At 35.7% G+C, this 23,927-nt stretch overlaps 2 long non-coding RNA genes across 3 annotated transcripts in view, besides 2 other annotated features; both read left to right on the forward strand.

Moving 5' to 3' along the window:
- Window positions 1–5,407, forward strand: part of LOC105375452 (uncharacterized) — an 18,612-nt gene extending 13,205 nt beyond the window's left edge. Inside the window, exons 2-3 of one of the 2 annotated variants that reach the window (XR_927864.3) lie at window positions 3,239–3,328; window positions 5,354–5,407. This is a non-coding gene — a long non-coding RNA (uncharacterized LOC105375452). Of the gene's footprint in view, window positions 1–3,238; window positions 3,329–5,027; window positions 5,083–5,353 lie in introns of those variants that run through there. The other variant, XR_927865.3, reaches the window with a different exon arrangement.
- Window positions 5,398–5,692: an enhancer, noted in NCBI's record as "tiled region #11752; HepG2 Activating DNase matched - State 24:Quies". NCBI's record gives its function as "activates a minimal TATA promoter and a strong SV40 promoter by Sharpr-MPRA in HepG2 cells {active_cell/tissue: HepG2}" and the evidence as "EXISTENCE:reporter gene assay evidence [ECO:0000049][PMID:27701403]".
- Window positions 5,469–18,846, forward strand: LOC124901723 (uncharacterized). The gene is made up of 3 exons (XR_007060474.1): window positions 5,469–5,556; window positions 11,229–11,307; window positions 18,778–18,846. It is a non-coding gene; the product is annotated as an uncharacterized LOC124901723 (long non-coding RNA).
- Window positions 21,902–22,452: an enhancer, noted in NCBI's record as "NANOG hESC enhancer chr7:110230392-110230942 (GRCh37/hg19 assembly coordinates)". NCBI's record gives its function as "activates a minimal SCP1, AML or CMV promoter by ChIP-STARR-seq in naive H9 embryonic stem cells {active_cell/tissue: H9 hESC(naive)}" and the evidence as "EXISTENCE:reporter gene assay evidence [ECO:0000049][PMID:30033119]".

Here is a 23,927-nt window from a genome sequence, read left to right on the forward strand (position 1 = left end):
GAAGAAATTTTAATACAGCAGAACCCAGCTCTTCAGCATAATTTGGTATTATCCACTCATCAACTCACTCACAGGCAGCCTCGCCTTGGGTCTCCAGAGCAGACAGCCAGCATAAGGTGGTGCCAATAAGTTAGAACCTTGTTTACTCTCAACAAATATGTGTTTTCAAAGGTGTGTAGTTGATTACGTAAGTTCTGTAGTATAGCAGTCTCCCATTATCTGCTGGGTGTATGTCCCAATACCCTCAGTGGATGCCTGAAACCATGGATATTTCCGAACCCTATATATACTATTGTTTTTTTTAACCTATACATACATGCTTATGATAAAGAATTTATAAATTAGGCACAGTAAGAGATTATCAATAACTAATAATATAATGGAACAATTATAACTACATACTGTTCATACATAGATTTATTTTTACCAAAGATCTTAGCAACCTCAGCAATTGATTTTTTTTTCTTTCCTTATTAAGTTGAGAATGTTCACCTTTTCATTTAAAGGAAGCACTTTACAGCTTTTTGTTGGCAGCTCTGAATTACCAGCATCACTCTCTGGGCTTTCAGGCCATTATTAAGTAAAATAAGGGTAACTTAAACACAAGCACTGCGATATTGTGACAGCTGATACGATTACCTAGACGGCTACTAAGTGACTATTGGCTGGCAGCATAGACAGCATGGATCTGCTAGACAAAGAGATAATTCATATCCCGGGCAGGACAGAGCACGGTGGCACATGATTTCATCATGCTACTCAGAATGGCATGCAATTCAATACACAATACACTTATGTATTGTGAATTTCTGGTATTTTTCATTTGATATTTTTGACCATAGTTGACCACGGGTAATTGAAACCACAGATAAGGTTTAGTTCAGATACATGCAAATCATAGTGAAACAAATATTTAATAGAAAATTTCTTGGGGTAGAGAGTTGTTTGTATATTAACATCCTGCTGTGGTCACACACATGTACCACACACATATACAAGTATATTTCTTTCCAAAATGTTTTTTTTTCTGTCTTTTCTTTTATATTATGTGCATAGAATCCTGGTTTCCCCAAAAGAAAATCAGGACAAAAAGAAAAGAAAGATGAGGCAAATTAAATGACATTTCCTCTCAGAACCTCCTTCTTTCTGCTTGTCAGTATTTCCCGATTTCCAGGTGGACTCTCTCATGCCCATTTCCCACGAGCACCCGAGTCTCTGAAGATTTATTTTTATCCCAGATCACCTCGTGAGGGAAGAAAATAAACAGAGGATGATTCTAGAAAGTTTTATAAGCTGAGTAACCAGCTTAATTTAAATAAAATGTGTATAAATATTCCCATTCAAGTTTTCATGGTGAACTCTCCATTACATTAGGAGTCATTAAAAATTCCATGGCTTCAAAGCTGATTTTGCTCTAAGGTGCAGTAACCCTGTTCAAAGTGAAGACAAAACCATTAAGAACAGGCAACCCAGGATGGGCTTCAGAAAGCTTGTTTCAGTTTGGCTGAACACTGCAAGGACTCTGTGCAGTATGAGAAGATAATTTATGATAAAATGTAGACTAAAAGGCATGCTGTTATGAGGTACCAGATGGACTCTGTGTTAACTCTTCAGAGAGCAGTACACACAGCTTGGCAAAGTGAAATTGCTAAAGAAGAAGTAAAAGAGCTACAGAAAATTGTGAGTGCTGTGTTCCTGGAAGAAAGCGACAAAGTGAATCCGGATGTCTTAGTAAGAAAGAAAGAGATGAATAAGGAGAGTCAAAGGAGCAGACCTTTCTGGGGCAGTCTGTCAGGAAGGTAAAAAGGCCATCATGAGAAGTGAAGTTACAGAAAAAAACGAGACACCATGTTTGGGAAAATAAGCCCCAAACAACCTACATTTTTTTCTCTAGAAAGGCTTTTGAAAAAATTACATGTCATGACTTGAAAGAGAATCAGCTGTATTTTTAGGAACCTACAATGTGATTCTTTAAAATTTGTAAGTATCTGCTATAAACAAAAGCCATAAAGAATACTCACAAATGTCTGCAGCATAGAAGAGCCAACAGATAGTGTCAAATTTTAACATTTGGCTTATATTTTACTTGTTAATTGGATATAGTATTTGTACATACTCAAAAGGATGCATAAATAATATATTTAACAGAGAAGTAACACTTTAATTATAATTCAGAATTAAATTCTATTAAAGCAGTAGAAACAATAACATTAGCTACCATTTACCAAGTGCCTTGTTTCAGATATAGGCCTGTATCAGGCATTATGCCAAATGATTTCTACATTATATCATTTCACCTTAAAATTTCCCTGAGAAATGGATATTGTTAGTCCTATTTTAAGTATTAGGAAAATCAGACACAGAAATTTAAAGAGCTTTCTCAAAGTCACACAGCTGTCTAAATCTAAAGACTACATTTAACCATTACATTATACTACCTCCCAACTGCCAAATATTTTAGGCACAATCAAGTTGCTTAAAATGTCAAATTGATGTATTCTTTTAATCCAGGATTTTCTATTCTATAGGGCCAATGTGATATTCTAATGTAAAGATATATATTCATGCATGCACAGTATCTTTCACATTTAGTTGAACTGACGTAATTTATTGGACACATACCATTTTGAAGGAACTATGCTGGCATCTGCAGTGTATATAATGAAAATTAGCAAAAAGTCTCTGTTCTAAAAGAATAACAATAATAACAATAGTATCAGGATGCTGTGCTGGAATTCTATCTCCATTAACTTAGGATAAGACACCAAAGACTAAGAACGAGAAATAGGTGCCAAAGTGCCCACAACCCAAATGCTAGATTACTGATGACAGTAATGGACTGTCCATTCTCAGCAAAGAGGATGGAGCCCAGTTTGTAGCCGTCACTTAATAACTGACTCAGACAAGAAGTTGATGCTAAGATATTTAGATGAATGGTGGTTGGGAAACAGGATTTTCACCCCATCTAAATTATAACCACCAGATTACCTACTAATTACAAAAGGAAAGATAACTACACTATAGAGAGATCTGGTAGATACCACCTTACCAAGTGTTGTTATAGAGCTTCCCCAATATTGAAGAAAATTGACATTATATATCCCCTACTGTGATGCCACAGAAGGGACACACAGTTATCTATGTAGGACTCTTGACAAAAAAGTTTACTTGGAACTTAACATGAGAAAATAATAAGTCAGATCCAGATAACTGGCCTTCAAAAATATTAATGTCTTAGAGCAAAAAAGAAGAGCAGGAAGCGGGCAAGAAGGGAAACTGTCCTAGAAAGAGAGTAAAGAAGACCAAAGTGATCAGACAACTAAATTTGGTGAGTGATTATTTTTATTATTTTCTGAATTTTCTTTTAAAAATATAGCGATGAAGAATATTATTGGATATTTAGAAATGGAAATGTAGGCTGTATATTATGTAATCGTATTATATCACTATTAAATTTCTTGAGTGTGAAAACGATCAAGGGCATCCTATGAGAAGAGCATCCTCATAGATAGAAGATACATGTGAGGTATTTAGGACAAAGTGTCATGATGCCTGTAAACTACTCTCAAGCAGTTCAACAAGATAAAAATGGAGATAGATGATGTATTATGTAATAAAGATTATATAATATATAGAAATAGATATTCTTATGTATAATATGTCACAAATTAATGATACTTTGTATATAACATATAGTGAATAACTATTGAAAATATATTAGTATACAAGTATACATGTAAATTGTATAATATATGCTACATAATATATACTAAATAATTCACTAAAAATATAGAGTATATAGCATATACTATATAGTATACCATGCAGAGTAAGATTATAGATTATATAAATTAATCTATAACTAATATAATAGAGCTTTTAAGTTAAATATATCTAGTTATATATAGCTTAATAGAATATATATTTAGTTAAATATATTCCATATTATATACAATGAGATTATGATATATTTTATATAGATTATATAAAGACTCCATAGAGATATTATATTGAGATATATATATTAAAAGATTTATAAAGTAGAAATATATAGAGATTTTAAGTATATATGAGGGTGTGTGTGTGTGTGTGTTTGTATTTTAAAGAAATATAGTGACATACCATTGGGCTGTTCTTTCTACTTCAAAAGGAGATTCTCTCCTACTCACCTTCATCCAAATGAAGGAGCTTAAAGAGATCCACTGAGATAGGCTGACATATGTTCCTAGGTGTGTAATTCTCTGGGAGACTTTAAAGGGGAGTTGTAGATGGAGCAGCATTGAGAATGTACTGACCTAATCACCAATGGTGCAAACATTCGTAGTGCTCTTGGAACAAATTTAGACCTCACAAAGGACCTTAAAGAGGATCAAAAAAGCCCTAACAGAGAGGGTGGACCTACCAGAATCTCAAAATCTCAGATGGATGGTTGTTCTAACGTGGGACTAGAGAAGACATTGCTTGAGTCAAAATAAACAAAAATATACAATATCTCTGTCCTCATAAGGCTTACAGTCTAGATGAGGAGATGGGCATTGTCTTGTTCGTTTTCTGCTACTTTAACAGAATACTACAAATTGGGACATTTATAAAGAAATGTGAAAGAAATTTATAAAGAAGTTTCTTTATAAATTGTAAATAAACTAAACTATAAATAAAATGTCATTTATAAAGAAAAAAACTTTACTTGGATTATAGTTTTGAAGGATGGGAAATCCAAAAAGTAGCACTGGTGTCTGGTGAGGATCATTTCATGGCAGAAGGTAGAAGTGGGCACAAAAGACAGACAAGACAGAGAGGCACCAGAGACCAAACTCACTTTTCAACAACCCACTCTCATGATAACTATTCCACACTTGAGGTAACATTAATCCATTCATGAAGGCCCTACCCTCATGATCCAATCACCTCTTATTAGGCCCCACCTCCCAACACTGGTGCATTGGGGATTAAATTTCCAACTCATGAACTTTGGAGGGGACACATTTAAAAGGGTATGTTAATTACCAACCTATACCTTTTTTAAGCTCAAAAGCATGTGCCAGTCCTAGAAGATATATACAGTGGTCTTTTGGAAGTGGGGATGTTCTTGTAGAGACCAGGTTTGATGTTACTGAAGAGCAAAGGACGAGAAACTGAAAAAAAAAAAGAACACATTGAAATAACATTTTATTCCTGCAACCCTGACTTCTGATGAAAACAGGATGGTAAGTAGTGTAAAGAAGGGATAGAAAGCAGGTTCTAAGTGGCCAGCAAATGCACCTTAGATACCCTTTAATCTACAAGGCTCTGCTGTGACCCACAATTGGAAATTAAATTGGTCTTTCATTATTGTGTTAACATATTGTTTCAGAGAATAATTGAAGCTTTAGACTTAGTAATTTCTGATGCAACGATTCCAGGCCTGATAAATATATATTATATGGCATGTCAAAGAAAAGTCATACCAGGCAGAGTTAAAACAGGCAAGGAAAATTTTATTCAAGATTATTACAACGGGGGAAGAGATTGAACTCAACTCCACGGAAACAGGAAAGAGAATTTTTAAGCTCTACGGTGAGTTTGTGGAAAAGCACTGAAGGATGTTAAAGGCAGAGTGAGTCAGCATGATTAGGTCATCTGTGTTTGCCAGTTGGAGCTTCTTGAATTTAGTCTCCTACCTTCCCACGGAGACTGAGAAATGGGAGCATCATCTTTCTTGATGATCACATTTCAAAGGAATGGGTCCCAGGTTCATGAGAAAGACGTTCCTGGGTTGTAGAAGATTTACATCTCAAACTGGGCAGAGAAAAAATTTACAATAGCAGATTTTTTAAAGTAAACACGGTAAGGAAAGAGAGACCAGAGACCTAGAGTCAGAAAGAAACCTGTCTAAAGTTCAGTCAAGGTGAGGGGAATGGTAAGTCTGTCTTGGTCACTCATGTGGTGCAGAAGCTCACTGGTGATGGCTGCAGAAGACTCCTGAGCAAGTCTGTCCCTGAAGAGCTTGAAAACCAAATTTAAGAAAAAATAGTTTTTTCAGATTTATTTCTCCAGGCACATTCATGACATGGCTAGTAGCCAGAGACTAAAAGCCCCCATTCAGCACTTCCACTGACTGAGGCAAAGCTTTTAAACTCTCACTTGGCTCAGTTAAAATGGAGATTGAGCACTGTTGCTTCATACTTCACAAAAATGTAGTCAAGATTAATAGGTAATATTTATAAAACCTTCCTAGGTATTTTTGATGTAGAAAAAATAGCATTTAAGTACAAATATGTTTCCTATAAATTACAGATGAAAATATTATCAGCATGCTTACAAAGAGCCAAAGTAAATTAAATCTGAAGAAAAAAAAGAACCTCAACTAGTATTTTATGAAGACAATATTTGCACAAGAGCTTCATTATATAGAATTTCTTTGTGGTTGTAAATGAAGAATTGTCATAAGCTAAGTATTGTACAAATAACAACAGAAGAGCAGCACCGGATCTAGAGTATTCACATCAGTTCTGTGAAATGGAATTGGCTTTATTTCTGAGGTCTTGTTACAAATTTCCTATATTTTTAATTTGAATGAAGCATACTAGGTTATTTTTCTGTTTTTTAAAAATAATATGTGGCAAATTATAGACAATTTAAAGTTACAGAAATATAGAAGAAAATAAAATATCCAATTGTCTTGCCACTTTGGAAAATAACCACCCATGGAAGTATTTACTTATAATCTTTTTGTTCTGAAAATATTTCTCCCAGAGTTCTAATCACGTGGCATGATTTTATATTGGTACACTATAAAATGGTATACATTCACTTTTATACAAAATTTGAAAATAGGAATTTTTAAGAACCTCACTTCACAAATAAGGACTGATAATATTTTTATTAATCCCATGTAGATTTTTTTTATCAGGGTCAGCATTGCATTTTTGGTACCATGTGTAATGTTCCTTCCCACCCCCACCTTCCATCTACCTCCTCTACCCTTCCCACCCTCAATCTTTCCTTTCTTTAAATGTGCCTTTTTTTCTGTCACTTTTGTCAAGTGAGACCAGAGGGCTTAAATTTAATAAAGTCCCCTTGTTAAGGGAGAGCCTGTTTTTAGCCCATGTGCTAGTGCATGTAGCACATTTTATTGATTCCTTTAAAGTATTATTATCTCAAGGACACTTACTGGGCTTAGATAAACTGTGATATGTTAAGGAGCTTGGTCATAGGATAAAAATCTGTCACTGGCTTATTTACCACTTTTTATTAATTAAATAGCATGACCCAGGTCATTCAGTCTGTATTTGAAGATGGAGAAAGTCATTATTCAAGGTCTTTCACAATCAAAATGGTCTTTATGTTGTTCTGAACAACTTTTGTGGGAAGAAGAGACACAGCAGTTTGTTTAGTAATTCTGTCTACAGTGTATCATACTGGTAGCCCTTTTGGTGCCTCCAGGAGAAGTAGCAAATGGCATCCTTCCTAGGTAAATGAATTACAGTGGGACACAGCCCTGGGGCCACAAGACATGGAATTCTCATGAAGAAAAGTCACCTCATTGACTTTCTCCAGGGAGGAACAGCTCCCTGCTAGGGTGTACCTTGTGAGAGAACCAAGGACCAAATTTCAGTTCCCTCTTAACATTTTAGTCACATGTGTGGAGGCATAACCACTCAATTCTAGGCAGCAACCCTTGTGTTCATGACACCTATAAAAATATGCAGACATTTCTTTATATATTTGTATTTATATACACTTACCTATTTATGTATTTATGTATATATACTGCTGATAGTTACAACCAAATTATTTTAGGCGATCTTCAAAGAAAGCAAGAGATTATACCTTAACTATGAAATCAATCACATGATTTAGCACTTAAGGTATAAAAACATGTTCAGAATCCAAAGGGGAATGATTTAGTAAAATACAGACCACAGATTTGAATCCAGATTACAGAGTGATCTGACAACTCCTAATCTGATCATATATCTTAATTTAGTATCAAATAAGAACTCAAGTGAGCTTGATATTCTTATATTTAAGTTATTTAATTTCTGAGTAAGCATTATGTTCAGTGGTCTTTAAGAAGATTATATGGATAATAGTGGATAATATATCTTCCCTCCTCAATCTTTGCATACCTATTGATACTTCCTTTTGCCTTTACATATAAAAGACAATCACTATAGGTTAAATCATCCCCATTCTCTCCCCCAAATTTAACTTTTTCCAAATATTCTGTTTTATTTATTATTATGCAAGTCACATTGCAGAAGAGCAGTCTAAGGTCCACCGGATTTGTTTGTTACGTCGTAGACAATAATAATCTAACTCAATAAAGGCTTAATTTTTTTCTTAATCTTTCCTAAAAACTTTTAGTGGTATAGGTTTAGAGATGTATCTCTTTCCTTAGATTTTTACATTAGTTATGGGAAGTCTTTTAAGTTTGCATCCTCAGATATTTTATTTGGTTCAGTAAAGATTTTTTTATTATATTCTTAAATATTGTTTTTATTTTAATTCAGAAATACCTTTACTTTTTAGAATATGTCTTTGTTCTCTGTTATTCTGCTATTATGATCTCTATCATGATAATCTCTTTATTCTTTTCCCTTATATTCTTGGATAACTTCACTTTTGTTTTATACTGATTGTATTTCCAACAATGCCATTCTACTATGCATAAGTTTTAATTCTGCTATTACATTATTTCTTTGTAACACTTCTTCCTTTGCTAACCATCTCATTTTTTACCTCATTTTGTTCCACTTTTTACAAAAATATCTCCTTTCCTTCAAATACACTATTGAAGCAGGACATTACTATTGTTGTTTTTCTAGCTCCTGTGTGAATTCTAAAAATCAGTCCTTTTCAGTGTTACTCTTCGAAATAATTAAAATGCTATTCCCATTCTCTTATTTTGCAGATCTGTTGTTGTGTTTGCTGTCACTTGTTGCTCTTTTTATAGACTCAACTTGTTTATTTGTTTGGAATTTTATCCCTATGTAATTGCCTGTATGCTTTTTAAAAACTCTACCCAAACTTAACATTTGCCAGCAGACAGGATAGACAATGCCTGTGTTCAATATCCGTTTAGGTGCTTGTGGAACATCCTTTCTCTGATTTAAAGTCAGAAGACAAATTTACGAGCCCAGGTTGTTTTTTGATTTTCAGTGTTTAGCAGGCATTCATCTATACATTCTACCATGCTAAGCATAATTTTCTCCATGCCAATTTTTTCGATCTCTAAAACCTTTAAATTATGAAGTACATGAAAACTCAAATCCTCAGCATACAGTGCTACCAAGATTTTTATTATTTCATCCCCTACCTAGAGCACCATATCTGATGTGGTTACAGCTGCCAAGATGCTTAAGGAGTTACCAGTCTTCCCTACTTCCCACCCTGTTTATTTGCTGAAATTAATTTCCAAATGGATGTTAGAAATTTGGAGTCATGAAACAGAGAACAATGCCCTGGTTACCTTAAAAAGCAGCATCTTCTCCACTGGCAGCCGTTTGCTCACCTTTTTGCTTGATCCGAGCCTGGTCTAAGAATCTAGAAACTAATATTGAGAAAGAGAAAGGATATTTCTGGCTTCTATTAGGTAAATGGGTTGTTCTCTTTATTAGGCAAAGCCCAGGCAGCCATCAGTTGTTTTTCTCTATCCAGTTTTATTGCCCTTATGGTTAGTGGAAATGGAGTGAAGCAATCAATTGCCTGTCAGCTTTCACTTTTTCGATGGTTGTGAGTGTTGATCTTTTCTAAAAATTGGCATTTTATTCCTCTGCTTGTTCCTAATCACCAGTCTTATCATTGCTCAAGCTAAGCCTGCATCAAAAGCCTCAGTTAAGTGTCCTTGCTGTTTCCAAGCCTTGCTGATGTTGTCTGAGATTTTTCTAAGGTCAAATGATAATCTACTAACCAGAATCCCCCACAACAGAAAGCTAGGATTGTCAGCAGTTTCATAAATAAATGAGTCACCAGAGCTTATTTCTAACCCTTTTTATACCTGGAATTCACTTAAATATTGCCATATAAGGCTACAATAAATGTAGATAATTAGCGTAGAAGGATACTGTGCACAGGCACATGGCCTCATGAACACATACACACACTCTCTGTGTGAACACACACATCTTGTCATGTATGAACACAAGCCAGTCCTTACACGTGAGCGTGTACATGGTCTCACAAATGAGCATATCGATAGCCTCATGCATGAACACACAGGAATAAAATGGTTCAGTACAATTATACCACAACTGAAAAAACAACATAAATCCCATCAAAGGCAAATACAAGGTGTAAAATATAACTGAGAGGAAAAACAAAGAAATGACAAGAAATGGATATGTGTGGTGCGGAAAGTAATGATCCAATCATTTTTACACATATCGTTTGTTAACTTCATAATAATCTGACAAGGAAGGTACCAGGAATCAAATGAATTCAATTAATTATCTATTCATGAAATGTATCAGTTACCTACTATGTGCTAGGCACTAGCACTGACACTGAGGCTCAGTAAGGCAATTACTGGTAAACTATTCAGTGATATTGGTGAGTGCCAAATTCAAGCCTAACGATATTGCCCGTGTGTTCTCCACTACCCCACACTAAAGTACAGGATTGATTTATTCTTATTTTTTCCTAGAACACTATTTTTGCAGAAGCTTTTGTATAGCTAATTTAAATAGAAATATAATATTTCTTTACATAGTGAAACTCTGAGTTAGTTCATGATGCAAAGTTTCCATATAGTTTTTCCATATCAGAAATTTTGAGTAAAATGTATGTTTAAAACACTAGCTTGGTAAAGTGATAATAGTGGCAAGGTTTCTGAATATGTCTGAGTCCCACCACTCTGCATAATAACTGACAGAACAGCTAGAATAATAAGACCAAAAGCCCAAACACTACTTCCAGAAAAATGTAGCTGCAAGGCATCCTCCAAACCTAAAAACACAAACTGGGAGCTACAAGCTACCAGTACAACAAGATCCATGTGGCCTCGCAACTGTAAAAGAAGAAACAGAAAACAAGAGGATTTCAGATGGCCATGAGACCCAGAAAACCAACAGTGCTAACTAGAATGCTCAATAGGCCACGCTGAGTACAGCAGCCAAAAATGGGTGGGAAGTTTATGGGCTCCAATTTGCTGGGTAATGGAATAGAACCACAATAAGGTCAAATGGTGGTGGAGCAGTGTGGGCCTTTTAAACTCTGGAAACTAATCAGCTAAAACTTCCTTTCAGGGCAAAGGTTAACACTGAGGAGAAACTGCTGGAAGTAGAATCCAAATTAAGTAAGAGAAGAAACAGAGACCAGATCCAGGTGAAAGTGGGCCTCCACATTTTGGAAAGTACAGGGTCATTCATATATATATATATATATATGTTTTTTGTTTCTTGTTTTTTTTTTTTGAGACTGAGTCTCACTCTGTCACCCAGGCTGGAGTGCAGTGGCATGATCTCTGCTTACTGCAACCTCTGCCTCCCAGGGTCAAGTAATTCTCCCACCTCAGCCTCCTGAGTAGCTGGGATTACAGGCGCGTGCCACCACACCCAGCTAATTTTTGTATTTTTAGTAGAGACGGGGTCTCACCATGTTGGTCAGGCTGACCTCGAACTCCTGACCTCGTGATCTGCCTGCCTCGGCCTCCCAAAGTGCTGGGATTACAGGCATAAGCCACCGTGCCCAGCCCAGGGCCATATTTTTAACACTGTGAAAATAACAGGAGAAGGAATTCTGAAGCTGTCAGGTGAAGAAAATGATTCTGATCCACGTCTCCTTATAAGAATAGAGAAAAAATAATCACCCTGAAACACGGATAACAGAAAAGGATTATAATAAAACAGTATTCAAAATCTATGTTTCAGAAAAATAGAATAAGATACACAAAAAGATCCTATAAACAAATAAATAAACCTCAGAAAATTTGCCTGAAAATATGAAAATTATAATCTAATACTTAAAAATAAACTATAATAAATTAAGAAAACAATGAAATATTGACAAAAATATGATGCAGAAAAACTTAGAATTTATGTTATTAGAGAAAAGAAAGACTTGAAAAGATAGCTGGGAAAATATAGGAAAGATTTAGAAATAAAAGGAAAAGATTTCCAGATCTAAAGAATGAACTAGAAGAAACACAAGAATGAACTTGAGATAATATACTAAGAGAAATAAGATAAATGGAAAAATTATGAAAGTTAAAATAAATGAAGATATATACAAGATACAAGAGACAGTGACAGACACAGAATAAGTAAAAGTAAAATCATATATATATATATATATATATGTATATATATATATAGGAAGGAAAACAGCAAAATGCAGTAGAACAAATACAAAAAATTTTAATCCTACAAACTTGGAAATAAACAAAAACCTAACTTGAAAAGAAAATTATTGCTTGAAACTGCAACCAGAATGAACAACACAGAGACATATACTAATAATATGATGAAACGTAAAGAAAAATAAAACGAAATCCACTGGGTGCCAGGCAAAAAGACCAAGTCACTAATAAGGGCAACAGCAGATTGTCAGCTATTTTTTCCCAGCAACATTTCATGATGGAAGACAATATAGCAAAGTATTTGAGAAACTCAGGAAGAAAATGTGAGCTAATGATTTTATATGTAGCACAAATGACATCAAGTATAAAAGCCATAACAAAACATCATGAAAATTTAAGAATTCAGAGAATATTGTGCCCATAAACCCTTCTTCAGGCATTTAACAAGAATGGGATTCTGACAAACAAAATGACTAGAATGACAATGATGTTAGGACCAGTGATGAACACTGGATAAATATTTACCTGAAAAACTAAAGCAAAATGGCAATTATAATAGAGAAATTATAGTATGTCATGGCTATATATTCTTACCGTTATCATCAAATGTAGGCCAGGCACTTTGGCTTACGCCTGTAATCCCAACATTTTGGAAGGCCAAGGTGGGAGGACTACATGAGGCCAGGAGTTTGAAACCAGGGCAACATAAACAAAACGCTGTCTCTTCTAAAAATAAAAATAGGGCCCGGCGCGGTGGCTCACGCCTGTAATCCCGGCACGTTGGGAGGCCAAGGCGGGTGGATCACAAGGTCAGAAGATTGAGACCATCCTGGCTAACATGGCGAAACCTCGTCTCTACTGGAAATACAAAAACTTAGCCAGGCATGGTGGTGGGCACCTGTATTCCCAGCTACTCAGGAGGCTGAGGCAGGAGAATGGCCTGAACCTGGGAGGCAGAGCTTGCAGTGAGCCGAGATCGCGCCACTGCACTCCAGCCTGGGGGACAGAGCGAGACTCCATCTCAGAAATAAATAAATAAATAAAAATGAAAATAAAAATAATTTACGTGGGCATGGTAGCACATACCTGTGGTTCCAACTACCTGGGATGCCAAGGTGAGAGGACTGCTTGAGCCCAGGAGTTTGAGTTTACAGTGAGTTATGATCACGCCACTGCACTCCAGTCTGGGTGATAGAGAGAGACCCTGTCTCTAAAAAAATAATAAAAGTAAAGACTGAAGTATATGAAATTAATGATTAATCAAAATTAATTTTCAAAATTAATGATTGTCTTATGTTTATTAACCAAAAAATTAATGCTTTACATTAAATGTTAGGAAAGAATGGGGAGGGAGGAAATAGGCTATTTGCTACTTTTAATATTGCTTGTGATAGGACACTAAAAGACAACATTCAGAAAGAAAAGGACTACAGTTATTGTATAAGAATATTAGTATAAAATAAACGTTAGAACAAAAATACCAACTTTCCTAAATACCAAATAAAATACTTATGGAGAGATCAATAAAATATTTTCAAAGTGATTATCTATACAGTAGATAAGGAATAGGGCCAAGAGGACAAGACTTTTCTGAACATACCTTGTTTATATATTTGACTTTGGAACAATGAAAATATTGTAAATAACTTTAATATTTTTTAAAAGGAAGTTATAAAAGTTTAAAGCAACACAAAACAAATTAACCCAACTATGTATTGAGTTTGTAGCATAACTTACCCTATGTGTTATTTGTTTTCATATTGCTATGAAGAAATATCTGAGAATGGGTAATTTATAAAGAAAGGGTTTTAATTGATTCACAGTTCTGCATGGCTGGGGAAGCTTCAAGAAAATTACAATCATGGTGGAAGAGGAAGCAAACACCTCCTTCTTCAAATGGCAGCAGGAGAGAGAAGTGCAGAGCAAAAGGGGCGAAAACCCCTTATAAAACCATGAGATCTCATGAGAACTCACTATCACAACAACAGCGTGGGGGAACTGCCTCCATAAATCGAATCACCTCCCACAAGGTCCCTCCCCAACGCTTTGGGATTACAATTCAGATTAAAATTCAAGATGAGATTTGGGTGGGGACACAGACCCAGACCATATCAGCCTGTGAAAATTATTTTAATTGACTTTGAAACACCACAACTCTACTATATATGCTAGGTGAGATGTAAACTAAGTACAAACATAACTGCAAACTTTTTTAAACTTTAGTCATCGTATTTTTGATGGCAGTGTTTATGTTTTACTCTGTGTCCATTATGTGTATATCATGAAATAAAGCAAATGAATGATTATACTGGTTTCTTTGTGAACTGAGATTTTCAGCATAAGACAAAGGAAACACATATCAGATCAATGCAGTTAAGTAAAAAAAACCTTATAGCACTAAAAGTGAGTAGAATATGTCAATATCAACTTATGATATAATTTAGTAACCAAAAAACCTCGGTTCACTGAAAAACCCTGAAATGATGACCAACCTAATAGCAATAAGTAGCTTATATCACAATAAGCAAATAACAACTCCTACCACCCAGGTTGTTACTTTTAATACTATTTCCAATAATTCTGCAGCAATGACTGATTCCAGATCTTTGACATAAAATAGGCTGACACTTCTTGCCATGTAGAAAATTAGAAAGCTACTGAAGAATATTTCAGATGGGTTAAAGGGTCATAAAAGCCAACTTAAAGAGGCTTCTGCTGGCCAAAGATGGGACTCTTGAATATCAATAAGTTTAATTGCATCTATGGATGAACACATTAAATATATTTAAAATGTGGTAGATAACAACTAAAAAATTCACTGGTCATATTTGAAGTATAATGGGAACCAATTTGTTATTTTGAAAATTGCAAATATAGAGAAAAAATAAAGCAAATTGTATCTGTATACAAACTGTATATACCTCAGGATATCTAAACAGTTGATGAAGAGATGTATTTCTTTATAGAAGTATCTCAGCGAATAAATTAAGTAGGAGTGATAGAATTTTAATATTTCAACATCATAATTATGTAATACATCTATAATAAATAATAGTCAATAATAAAAAAGTCAGCCAGGTATTTCATGCTTCTTGACAGATGTACAACATATTACCTGAAATATTCTTGTCAAAAAATTAAATCTGATCAAATCTCTAGATCTTACTGCCAATTTATAGGCAATAGGACAATGGAATGTGTTAATTGATATAAGATGCAATTAGCAAAATCCAGACTATGGAAAACTGTGCAAGATAAATCAGCTGATTTGTTCAGCAAAGAGACTATTTAAAAAAAATTGAAGATGGAGAGGATACCTATATGGCAAAAGAGACTTCAAAGTTTTATCGACCAACTATAATGTATAAGCCTTACATGAATACTGATTTAAACTAATAATCTTTTTTAAAATACTGACATAGTCAGAGATTTTCAACCTTATTGGATATACAATGCTCTTGGAAAATTATTATTAACTTTTAGGTATAATAATAAGTCTCTGCTCCTGTGTCTTAAATAACCCCTATCTTATTAAGGTATATATTAAAGTATATGTAGATAAAATCATAAAACATTAAAATATTCTGGGTGGGGACAAAGGAGAGTGAGTAGGGTAGACATAAAACAAGATTGAGCATGACGATAAATGATGAAATTGAGTGATGCATAGAGATTTATCATCTTATCCATTACAGTTTTATATATATATACGTATATATACGTATATATGTATATACATGTATATATGTATATATGTATGTATGTATAAGTATGTATATATGTATGTATATATGTATGTATATATATATGTATATATGTATGTATATGTGTGTATCACAATAGCAAAGACTTGGAACCAACCCAAATGTCCAACAATGATAGACTGGATTAAGAAAATGTGGCACATATACACCATGGAATACTATGCAGCCATAAAAAATGATGAGTTCATGTCCTTTGTAGGGACATGGGTGAAATTGGAAATCATCATTCTCAGTAAACTATCTCAAGAACAAAAAACCAAACACCGCATATTCTCACTCATAGGTGGGAATTGAACAATGAGATCACATGGATACAGGAAGGGGAATATCACACTCTGGGGACTGTTGTGGGGTGGGGGGAAGGGGGAGGGATAGCATTGGGAGATATACCTAATGCTAGATGATGAGTTAGTGGGTGCAGTGCACCAGCATGGCACATGTATACATATGTAACTAACCTGCACAATGTGCACATGTATCCTAAAACTTAAAGTATAATTAAAAAAAAAAAAGTATGTATATATATGTATATATATGAGATTTTGCATAAGTATCTTTTCAGTTAGAAAAGAAAATAAAAAATAATACCTAGTTTTGGAGGGGAGTATGAATCTCCATATTAAACTAAAATGAATGTTTTATTTTTCAACTGATATTTCAGTGTTTGAGTAAAAATATTATGAAGCTTTAAAATGTTTGAAAAGAACAGCCTTAGGTTTAATTATAGAAAATTTAAAATGGAAATTCTTACATCTGTAACTGGTCATTAACCTATTTTGTTTTGTTTAGGGATTTTTCTTCTGGTCATTTAAAATGAAACACTTTCTTTAAGACATACATACAGAAATATAGCTAACTAGAAAGCTCATGGCTTATAATTTTAACAAACATCTTTTACCCAGAGAAGCAAATTTCTTAAGTATTATATATTTTCTCTTCAAAAGCTTGAACAGCCTCAAATAAGACACATCATTGAGATGAAAATTGATTTTTTTACATATAATTGGCTTTTGCCCCCACCTCTACATTACGTTATAGGTTTTTTTTTACTTCAAAAAATAAACATAAAAACATTAAAGAATGAATTTTTAAACAAGACTCGACTTCAACATCTCTGAATTGGAATTGAAATACATCAGATATATGGTAACAAATTAAATTAATTTAAAAGCAAGAAAAATAATCATAAACTCAGAAGGCTCTATATTTTATGCATTCCTGGAAGACTTAACCCACAATTACTAAAAATTGAATAAACGTTCATTTATGAGTTTATTACACTGTATTGAGGAGTCATTAACTTAGCTCGGTACAGCAATGTGTTATGATATGACTGAAGCTGTGATCACAGTGCTTGATGGAAATAAAAGTATCATTATACTCTCCAGGAGCTATTTATTGCTAATGTAAACAAGAATAAGAATACGCATGCAATAGAGAAGACAGTAAATGATAGGCAACTATCTAATTTAACTATAACATTTTTCTGAGAGAATGCTGACTCAGAATTCAAGAAACAACTCGTAAAAAAAGAGCAAAAGTTTTCAGCCATTTCACATATAACCAAATATGAGGGGGAAAGATTAGTCGTAAATATGGACTGATTATATGGATAATCTCCAGTCTCCTCTCTAACCCAATGACTACATAGCTCAGAGAATCCAAGTCATGCTGTCTTGTCAAGTTTCTCTTGTGACGGAAGCTTTTAGAAGACCTAAAAGTGTTGAATGTCAATTCTATAATAATTTAATACAGCATGGGTTCTCCCTTGGTAGAATATAAAAACTAAAAACATACCACTTTAGATCCAATCTCAAATTTACCTTTTAGGGAAGACTGTGTGTGTAGTACGTATTGTGACGTGCCACCCAGATCCCACTGCAGGAATAGGGTCTTGATCTCTCAGCTTCTGGGATTGCTCCTTTGGCAGCCAGCCCTCTTAGGGAATTGTCTTGGCTGGAGAGAGCCACCTCACCCAAGCCCATGCCCTATTCCTGGGACAACCCTCATCCAATGATTGATCAACATGAGGACATAAAAGCCTGGGGCCACATTGCCCTAACTCAGGACAACTCTGAAAGACCCATCCCACTTTAGAGCTCCCTTTGGGCTGGCTGAGACCTCCAATGAGGCCTCATGATAGCCCAACTTCTACCTCTGACCAATCTTGCTTTCTTTTCATCCCTCCCTGTATCAAGTATGGCCCCAAGAGAATTTCCTGATAAACTTCCTGTACCCCAATCTCTGAATCACAGTCTGCTTCTCAGGAATCTGTGATGGTTGGCATCAAAAACTTGAGCGGGGAGAGGACAAAACGTAGACAAGACAAAACAACATTCTATAAGTCTAAGTGGTTACTGAGTTGAGATATGTCCAAGGTGTCGTTTATACAGCATTGCAGCTTTGAAGGCCAAAGATGTGACTAGATAAATTTTATTCAGAATGGAAGTCAAGAAAGTAAATCAGTTTCATAGTTGAGTAGCTCCACCATGCTATACAGTTTCTTTGTCACTGGTCATACAAATATAAAGACAGAACTCCTATTCTCAAAGAGGTATAGTTCAACCTAATGTATGACCATGTATTAAGATCAATATATTATGATACTGTTTAGATTGGGAAACTTTTAAGGAAGTTTGGTCACTCAACATAAAATATTGAATTTGCAAAATACCACCGGCTAATCTAATTGTGTTGGCAGAAGATTAAAGGTGTTTTTTTTCTATTTTCTAGGTCCCCACTTGAATCACTATAATTATTGAAAATAGCAGCTGATACGTACCAATATAAAACTGAAGACTTGCTATGACCCAGGAACTCTGGGAAGCATGTTATGTAATTGCATCTGCCTTCCTTGCTGGACTCTAAGCTCCTTGAGGACAAAGATGTATCCATTGTGCCACTTCTACATTCTCCAAGCCTAGCAGAGAACCAAGAACTAAGGGCTCAAAAACATGTGTTGAATTAATTAAGAATATCACAGCAAATCCTCTGAAAAACTCAGAGATAAGTGACATCATCATCCTTATTTTATAGATGACAAACCTGAAATTTGGGTCAAGAACACAGAGCCTGTGGGTGACAAACAGCAATCCAAACCAACAATCAGATTCCCAAACTTGAAAACTCATCTACTCTGCCTCACTGATCAGTTTGTTTGCCCAGTTTCACCATAAAAGAGTAGGTAAGATGGGGAGTGAGGAGAGAGACACAAGGAAAAACATCTCTTGCTTGAGACACCCTCTTCTTTCTTACTCACTTGCCACACATTCTTTAAGGCTTATTTCCAGCCCAAAATTCTCCAAGAAATCTTTTTGGACCATACAGCTCTTTTTGTTTCTTCTGAATACCAGCAGCCCTTAATATCCATTGAAAAGAATTAAAAAACTACCCCAGCTCTCCTGCATAGCTCATTCTTGTTAAGTGTATGGAGTCCTCTGAATTTCCCAAAAGCATGATAAGGTCCTAAGGGCAAGGTACCCAATTATTTTCCCTGTTTGCGGAACAGCACACAGCACAAAAATGAACACATGGTTTAGGTTCTTTGTAACTACCTAAGGTCAGATCAGCTAGAGTGACTAGTTAATGATATACATAATATCAGTATCAGACCAGGAATATCCTTCCTCCTCTCATTTGTAAAATTCTCTCAAATATCACCCATTAAAACTGTGGACTTCTTCATCCTTTTTGTGTTCATTTATCTAAAGTGCTAGACAAGCCAGGAGAATGCCCTGGCCAAAGAAAATTAAAGGAAGAAAAGGTTATGAGCTTTTTGCTTCCTCCCATGCACACTTTGCTTAATTCAGGGAGCATTTGGTTTTTATTCCATGAGAGACCAAGGACTCCCACTTCAAAAACAACACAATGATTATGGCCAGCAAAATTCCTATAAAAGAGAACATAAAGAAACTTCAGAGACATTTAATTGATCTACAGTAAGAATGGGCCAGGATTTTTACACTCTGGAAGTATTAGGTAGAACTGTAGTTAAAATTATTTATTTTATTACAAGAATAGTACAAGGCTGTCTTTATGCCAGAGTAATTATCCAGTTAATTGCCCTAGAATGAGTATAACCCAGTTTCCAGATACATAACACACATTTTGCCAAATGTGACTTGACTTATGCCAGCAGCCTGCAACAGTTTTAATCTCAAAAGTTGCCAGGGAACTTAAAGGACACCCACGGGAGCCTGGGGCAAGCCCAAGACTGCACAGCAGGAAGCACATGGAAGGGGAAGGAAGAAAAGGAATGACTATCAGCTGCTGGGACCAAGGAGTCCAGGAAAGTAGAACAAGGAAGGGATGTGAGCAGAGGAAAACAAGTAGAAGAAAGGAAAAAATAAGTAAATGTGGTGAAGAACAATGGCCTTCTTTTTGGCATTAACGGAATAAAATATGTTTTGGGCATCATAGATGTTACTGCTCTTTTTTGAGAATTAAATGAAGTATATAATGAGCTAGGCAAAGTGCCAAACATATAGTAATAATTTTAGGATGTTAGGTGTTTTTTGTCCCCCAAAGGGATGTTTGTTTGTGGGGGTTTTTTGTTTTGTTTTGTTTTTTGTTTATTTTTTGAGATGGAGTCTGGCTCTTATCGCCAAGGGTGGAGTGCAATGGCGCTATCTCGGCTCACTGCAACCTCCCTCTCCCAGGTTCAAGCAATTCTCCTGCCTCAGCCTCCCAAGTAGCTGGGATTACAGGTGCACACCACCACACCCAGCTAATTTTTGTATTTTTAGTAGAGACAGGGTTTCACCATGTTGGGCAGGCTAATCTCAAACTCCTGCCCTCAGGTGATCCTCCTGCCTTGGCCTCCCAAAGGTGTGTTTTTTATAAGTACACAATTTGGCCAATTAGGCAAACAATACTGACAATGTTTCTTTAATTACTGGGAAAGTCTTGACTTAGTCTGTTTCCAGAAAAAGGCTTGTATTAGTAGATATATAAAATACTCCATCTGCTATCGTAAGTCATGCTGGCACTTCATGTATGGGAATTAGTTTTTAGTCCTGTACCAAATGAATTTGGAAATCAAGGTTACCCATGCAAAGTCCCTTGATTTATATAAGATTATACATCCCTAATTCCAACTAGACTCTTGTTTACCTTATAGCCATTTCCTGCCTCTAAGTTGCAATAGTACATACAAAATAAATGGAAAAATAAGTTCTCAAACTTCATCAAAATATTAAATAAATTTCCAAATTTCACTGGAATCACAAGGTTTTAGCCCTTTCATCTGAGTCCTTTTTATCAGAGTTATTACTAAGGAGTTCAATGGACTTCATTGAGTTCCTATCTATATTATTTCTCCAGTCTGAGATAAATATATCAATGAGTGCTTAAATGGCCCAAAAGTGAGCAGCAGGAGGAAAGGGAAAAAATCAGAAAGCCCCAAGCTTTATCAGCTATATAAGCAATCACTAAATAATTGAGAATTAAACTAAGACAGTTACTGATAAACATATGCTGGTGTTAAACAGGAGTTAAAATGGCACCAAAATTTGCCCATCTTGTGACTTTAAGCATAGAATTTACAAACTCAACTCACTTACCGTACAAACAGAGGAACCGTTGGTGAAGGGACATTCTGCAATACCACCACAGGTCCTTAGTGACTGAACCAGTACTAGCAATGGTCTCCTAACTTGCAGGGTTGAATTCTCCCTTCCATTCGACCACAGCTATCTCAGAGATCTTGAGGCAGGAGAATAAGGTCTGGAGGCAGGGAATTGAGAGCCAATTCCCGCTAATTTCCTAAAGCTGGATCATAAAAACGAAAATACCGGGGTCTGGGGGCAGGTAGCCTAAGGCTAATTTGTGCTAACGTCCTAAAGCTGGATCAAGAAACACCTGGGTCTGGGGTCAGGGAACCTAAAGCCGATTTGTGCTAACTTCCTAAAGCTGGATCAAAAAAGAAAAAAAAAAAAACCATTTCCCTACGCCCCAGTAACAAAGGATCAAAGGCTACTCCCCTACAACACTTGCTGCCCACTATGCCCCAGATGGAAAGAGAAAGTGCCTCGGATGTGGGAGGGGAGGAGGAAGCATGGACCAGCCCTTGATGTGCATAGGGCCCCAATCCGCTCCAGCCTGTAATTGGCCATGGGCTAAATCCTTCACTCACAGGAGTAGCCAATTGAGACATCAAAAGTGGGTACTTAAATGCCAGAAAACTTTGTAACCAGGGCCCTTGAGCCACTTGATGGCGTGCTCCCACCAGGTGGAGTGTTTTCTTTCTTCAATACATCTTTACCTTTGCTATTTCATTCCTTTATTTCCATCCTTTGTTACTTTGTGTGTTTTGTTCAGTTCTTTGTTCAACGTGCCAAGAAACTGCACATCTCACACTCAAGGCCTGCCTTCCAATAACAGTCTGAAGTAATCGCTCCTAATCAATTCATTATTGATTTTTTTTAAGAATGTAAATATCTAACACAGCCTCTGGGACTTCAATGGCAGTCAATACACATTAGTTCTCTGGTGACCCTTTTCCATTCATGCCAGTGGCATCTATGATGTGTGAGAGAAGAAACTGTCCCTGGAATTGTTCTGTATCTTGAGGAAGCTCCCTGTGTCTACCCCAGAAAGCAGGAGCAAGGCTTGCCTCTTTATTATTTCACCAAAGCAGAGAACCATTCACTGGTACAGAGTTGTGTTCACTTTCCACTCAGAGAGAGAGAGACAATTAAGAAAAGGGATTTGCATGAGGGATGTCAATGATCTGTTTCTTATTGTCAGCTTCTGTACCTTTTTCTCTCTTTTTCCAGTGCTTTTTTAATGCCATATGTAGGCAAATTACAAATAAACAAAACCAAGAAGAAAAATGTAAGCTGTGGGCTGATGACATTGCTTAGCAAAAAATGAGTCTCACACACAGGCGGCTGCACTCCAGATTTCAATTTAATTCACTTTCCACAAGCAACAAGAGCAAGAATAATATGCTTCAATGTAGGGAGATCAGAGAAGAGAAGCTTCACTGCATTTTGAGACCGAGAATGACTGAATGAGGTGGCAGTGGTGGCAGCCGCTGCTCATCACAAGATGGAGAAAGGCTGGAAAATGAAATGGAAGTTGAAAGTGGTTGTTGTGAGTCAGGCTCCGACTATGGTGACCTGTCTTGCTGTGAGAATACACATGGAAACCAGCCTTCCACAGAGCCAAACATAGACATGTCTGTAATCTCTGGACACTAAGAAATAAGCTTCTTACAGACAGAATCTGGAAAGATGTCTGCCAAGAGTGGGGATGCAGGGACTAGAAAACAAAAGCAAAGCCCATCTTTCACTGGAGCATGTCTGCACAAACATTCTGCTGACTGACGATAGACATACAAGTTGTGAATACACTTAAAATGTATGAGTGTGAAAAGTGTCTACATACAATTATTATCTATTATTTACTTGTTATTTATTTATTATTTACTGAAATCCTACTTTGTCAGGCATCAGGCTAAGTGCCTTATTACATTATGTGATTCATTCTCCATAATAACCATTTGATGTAGAAGCTATCATTTTCACAATTTTTCATATGGGGAAACCAAGGCCTAGAAAAGAAAAGTTCTTCCTTGGCAAGTAACCATTTTTAAAGAGAAAAGAATTTTATCCCAGAAGAAAACATTTTATCTCTGTTCATGTGAATGAAATATACACATATATTTATATTTACATCAAAGGTGAGTAAAACTTTATGAAAAATAAAGTTAGGCTTTACAAGCAGTTTGGCAGGATTCATTTAGATGCTTTCAGTAAAGTTTATGTGCTATATCAATTTCTGTACCTAGAAAAGGAACAAAATGTTTTTGTTATTTTCCTTCCATTGATTAAAACAAAATAACAAACAAAAAACACAACTGAACCTAGACTGTTCATCTG

Source organism: Homo sapiens, chromosome 7, assembly GCF_000001405.40.
Source record: "Homo sapiens chromosome 7, GRCh38.p14 Primary Assembly".
Lineage (NCBI taxonomy): Eukaryota > Metazoa > Chordata > Mammalia > Primates > Hominidae > Homo > Homo sapiens.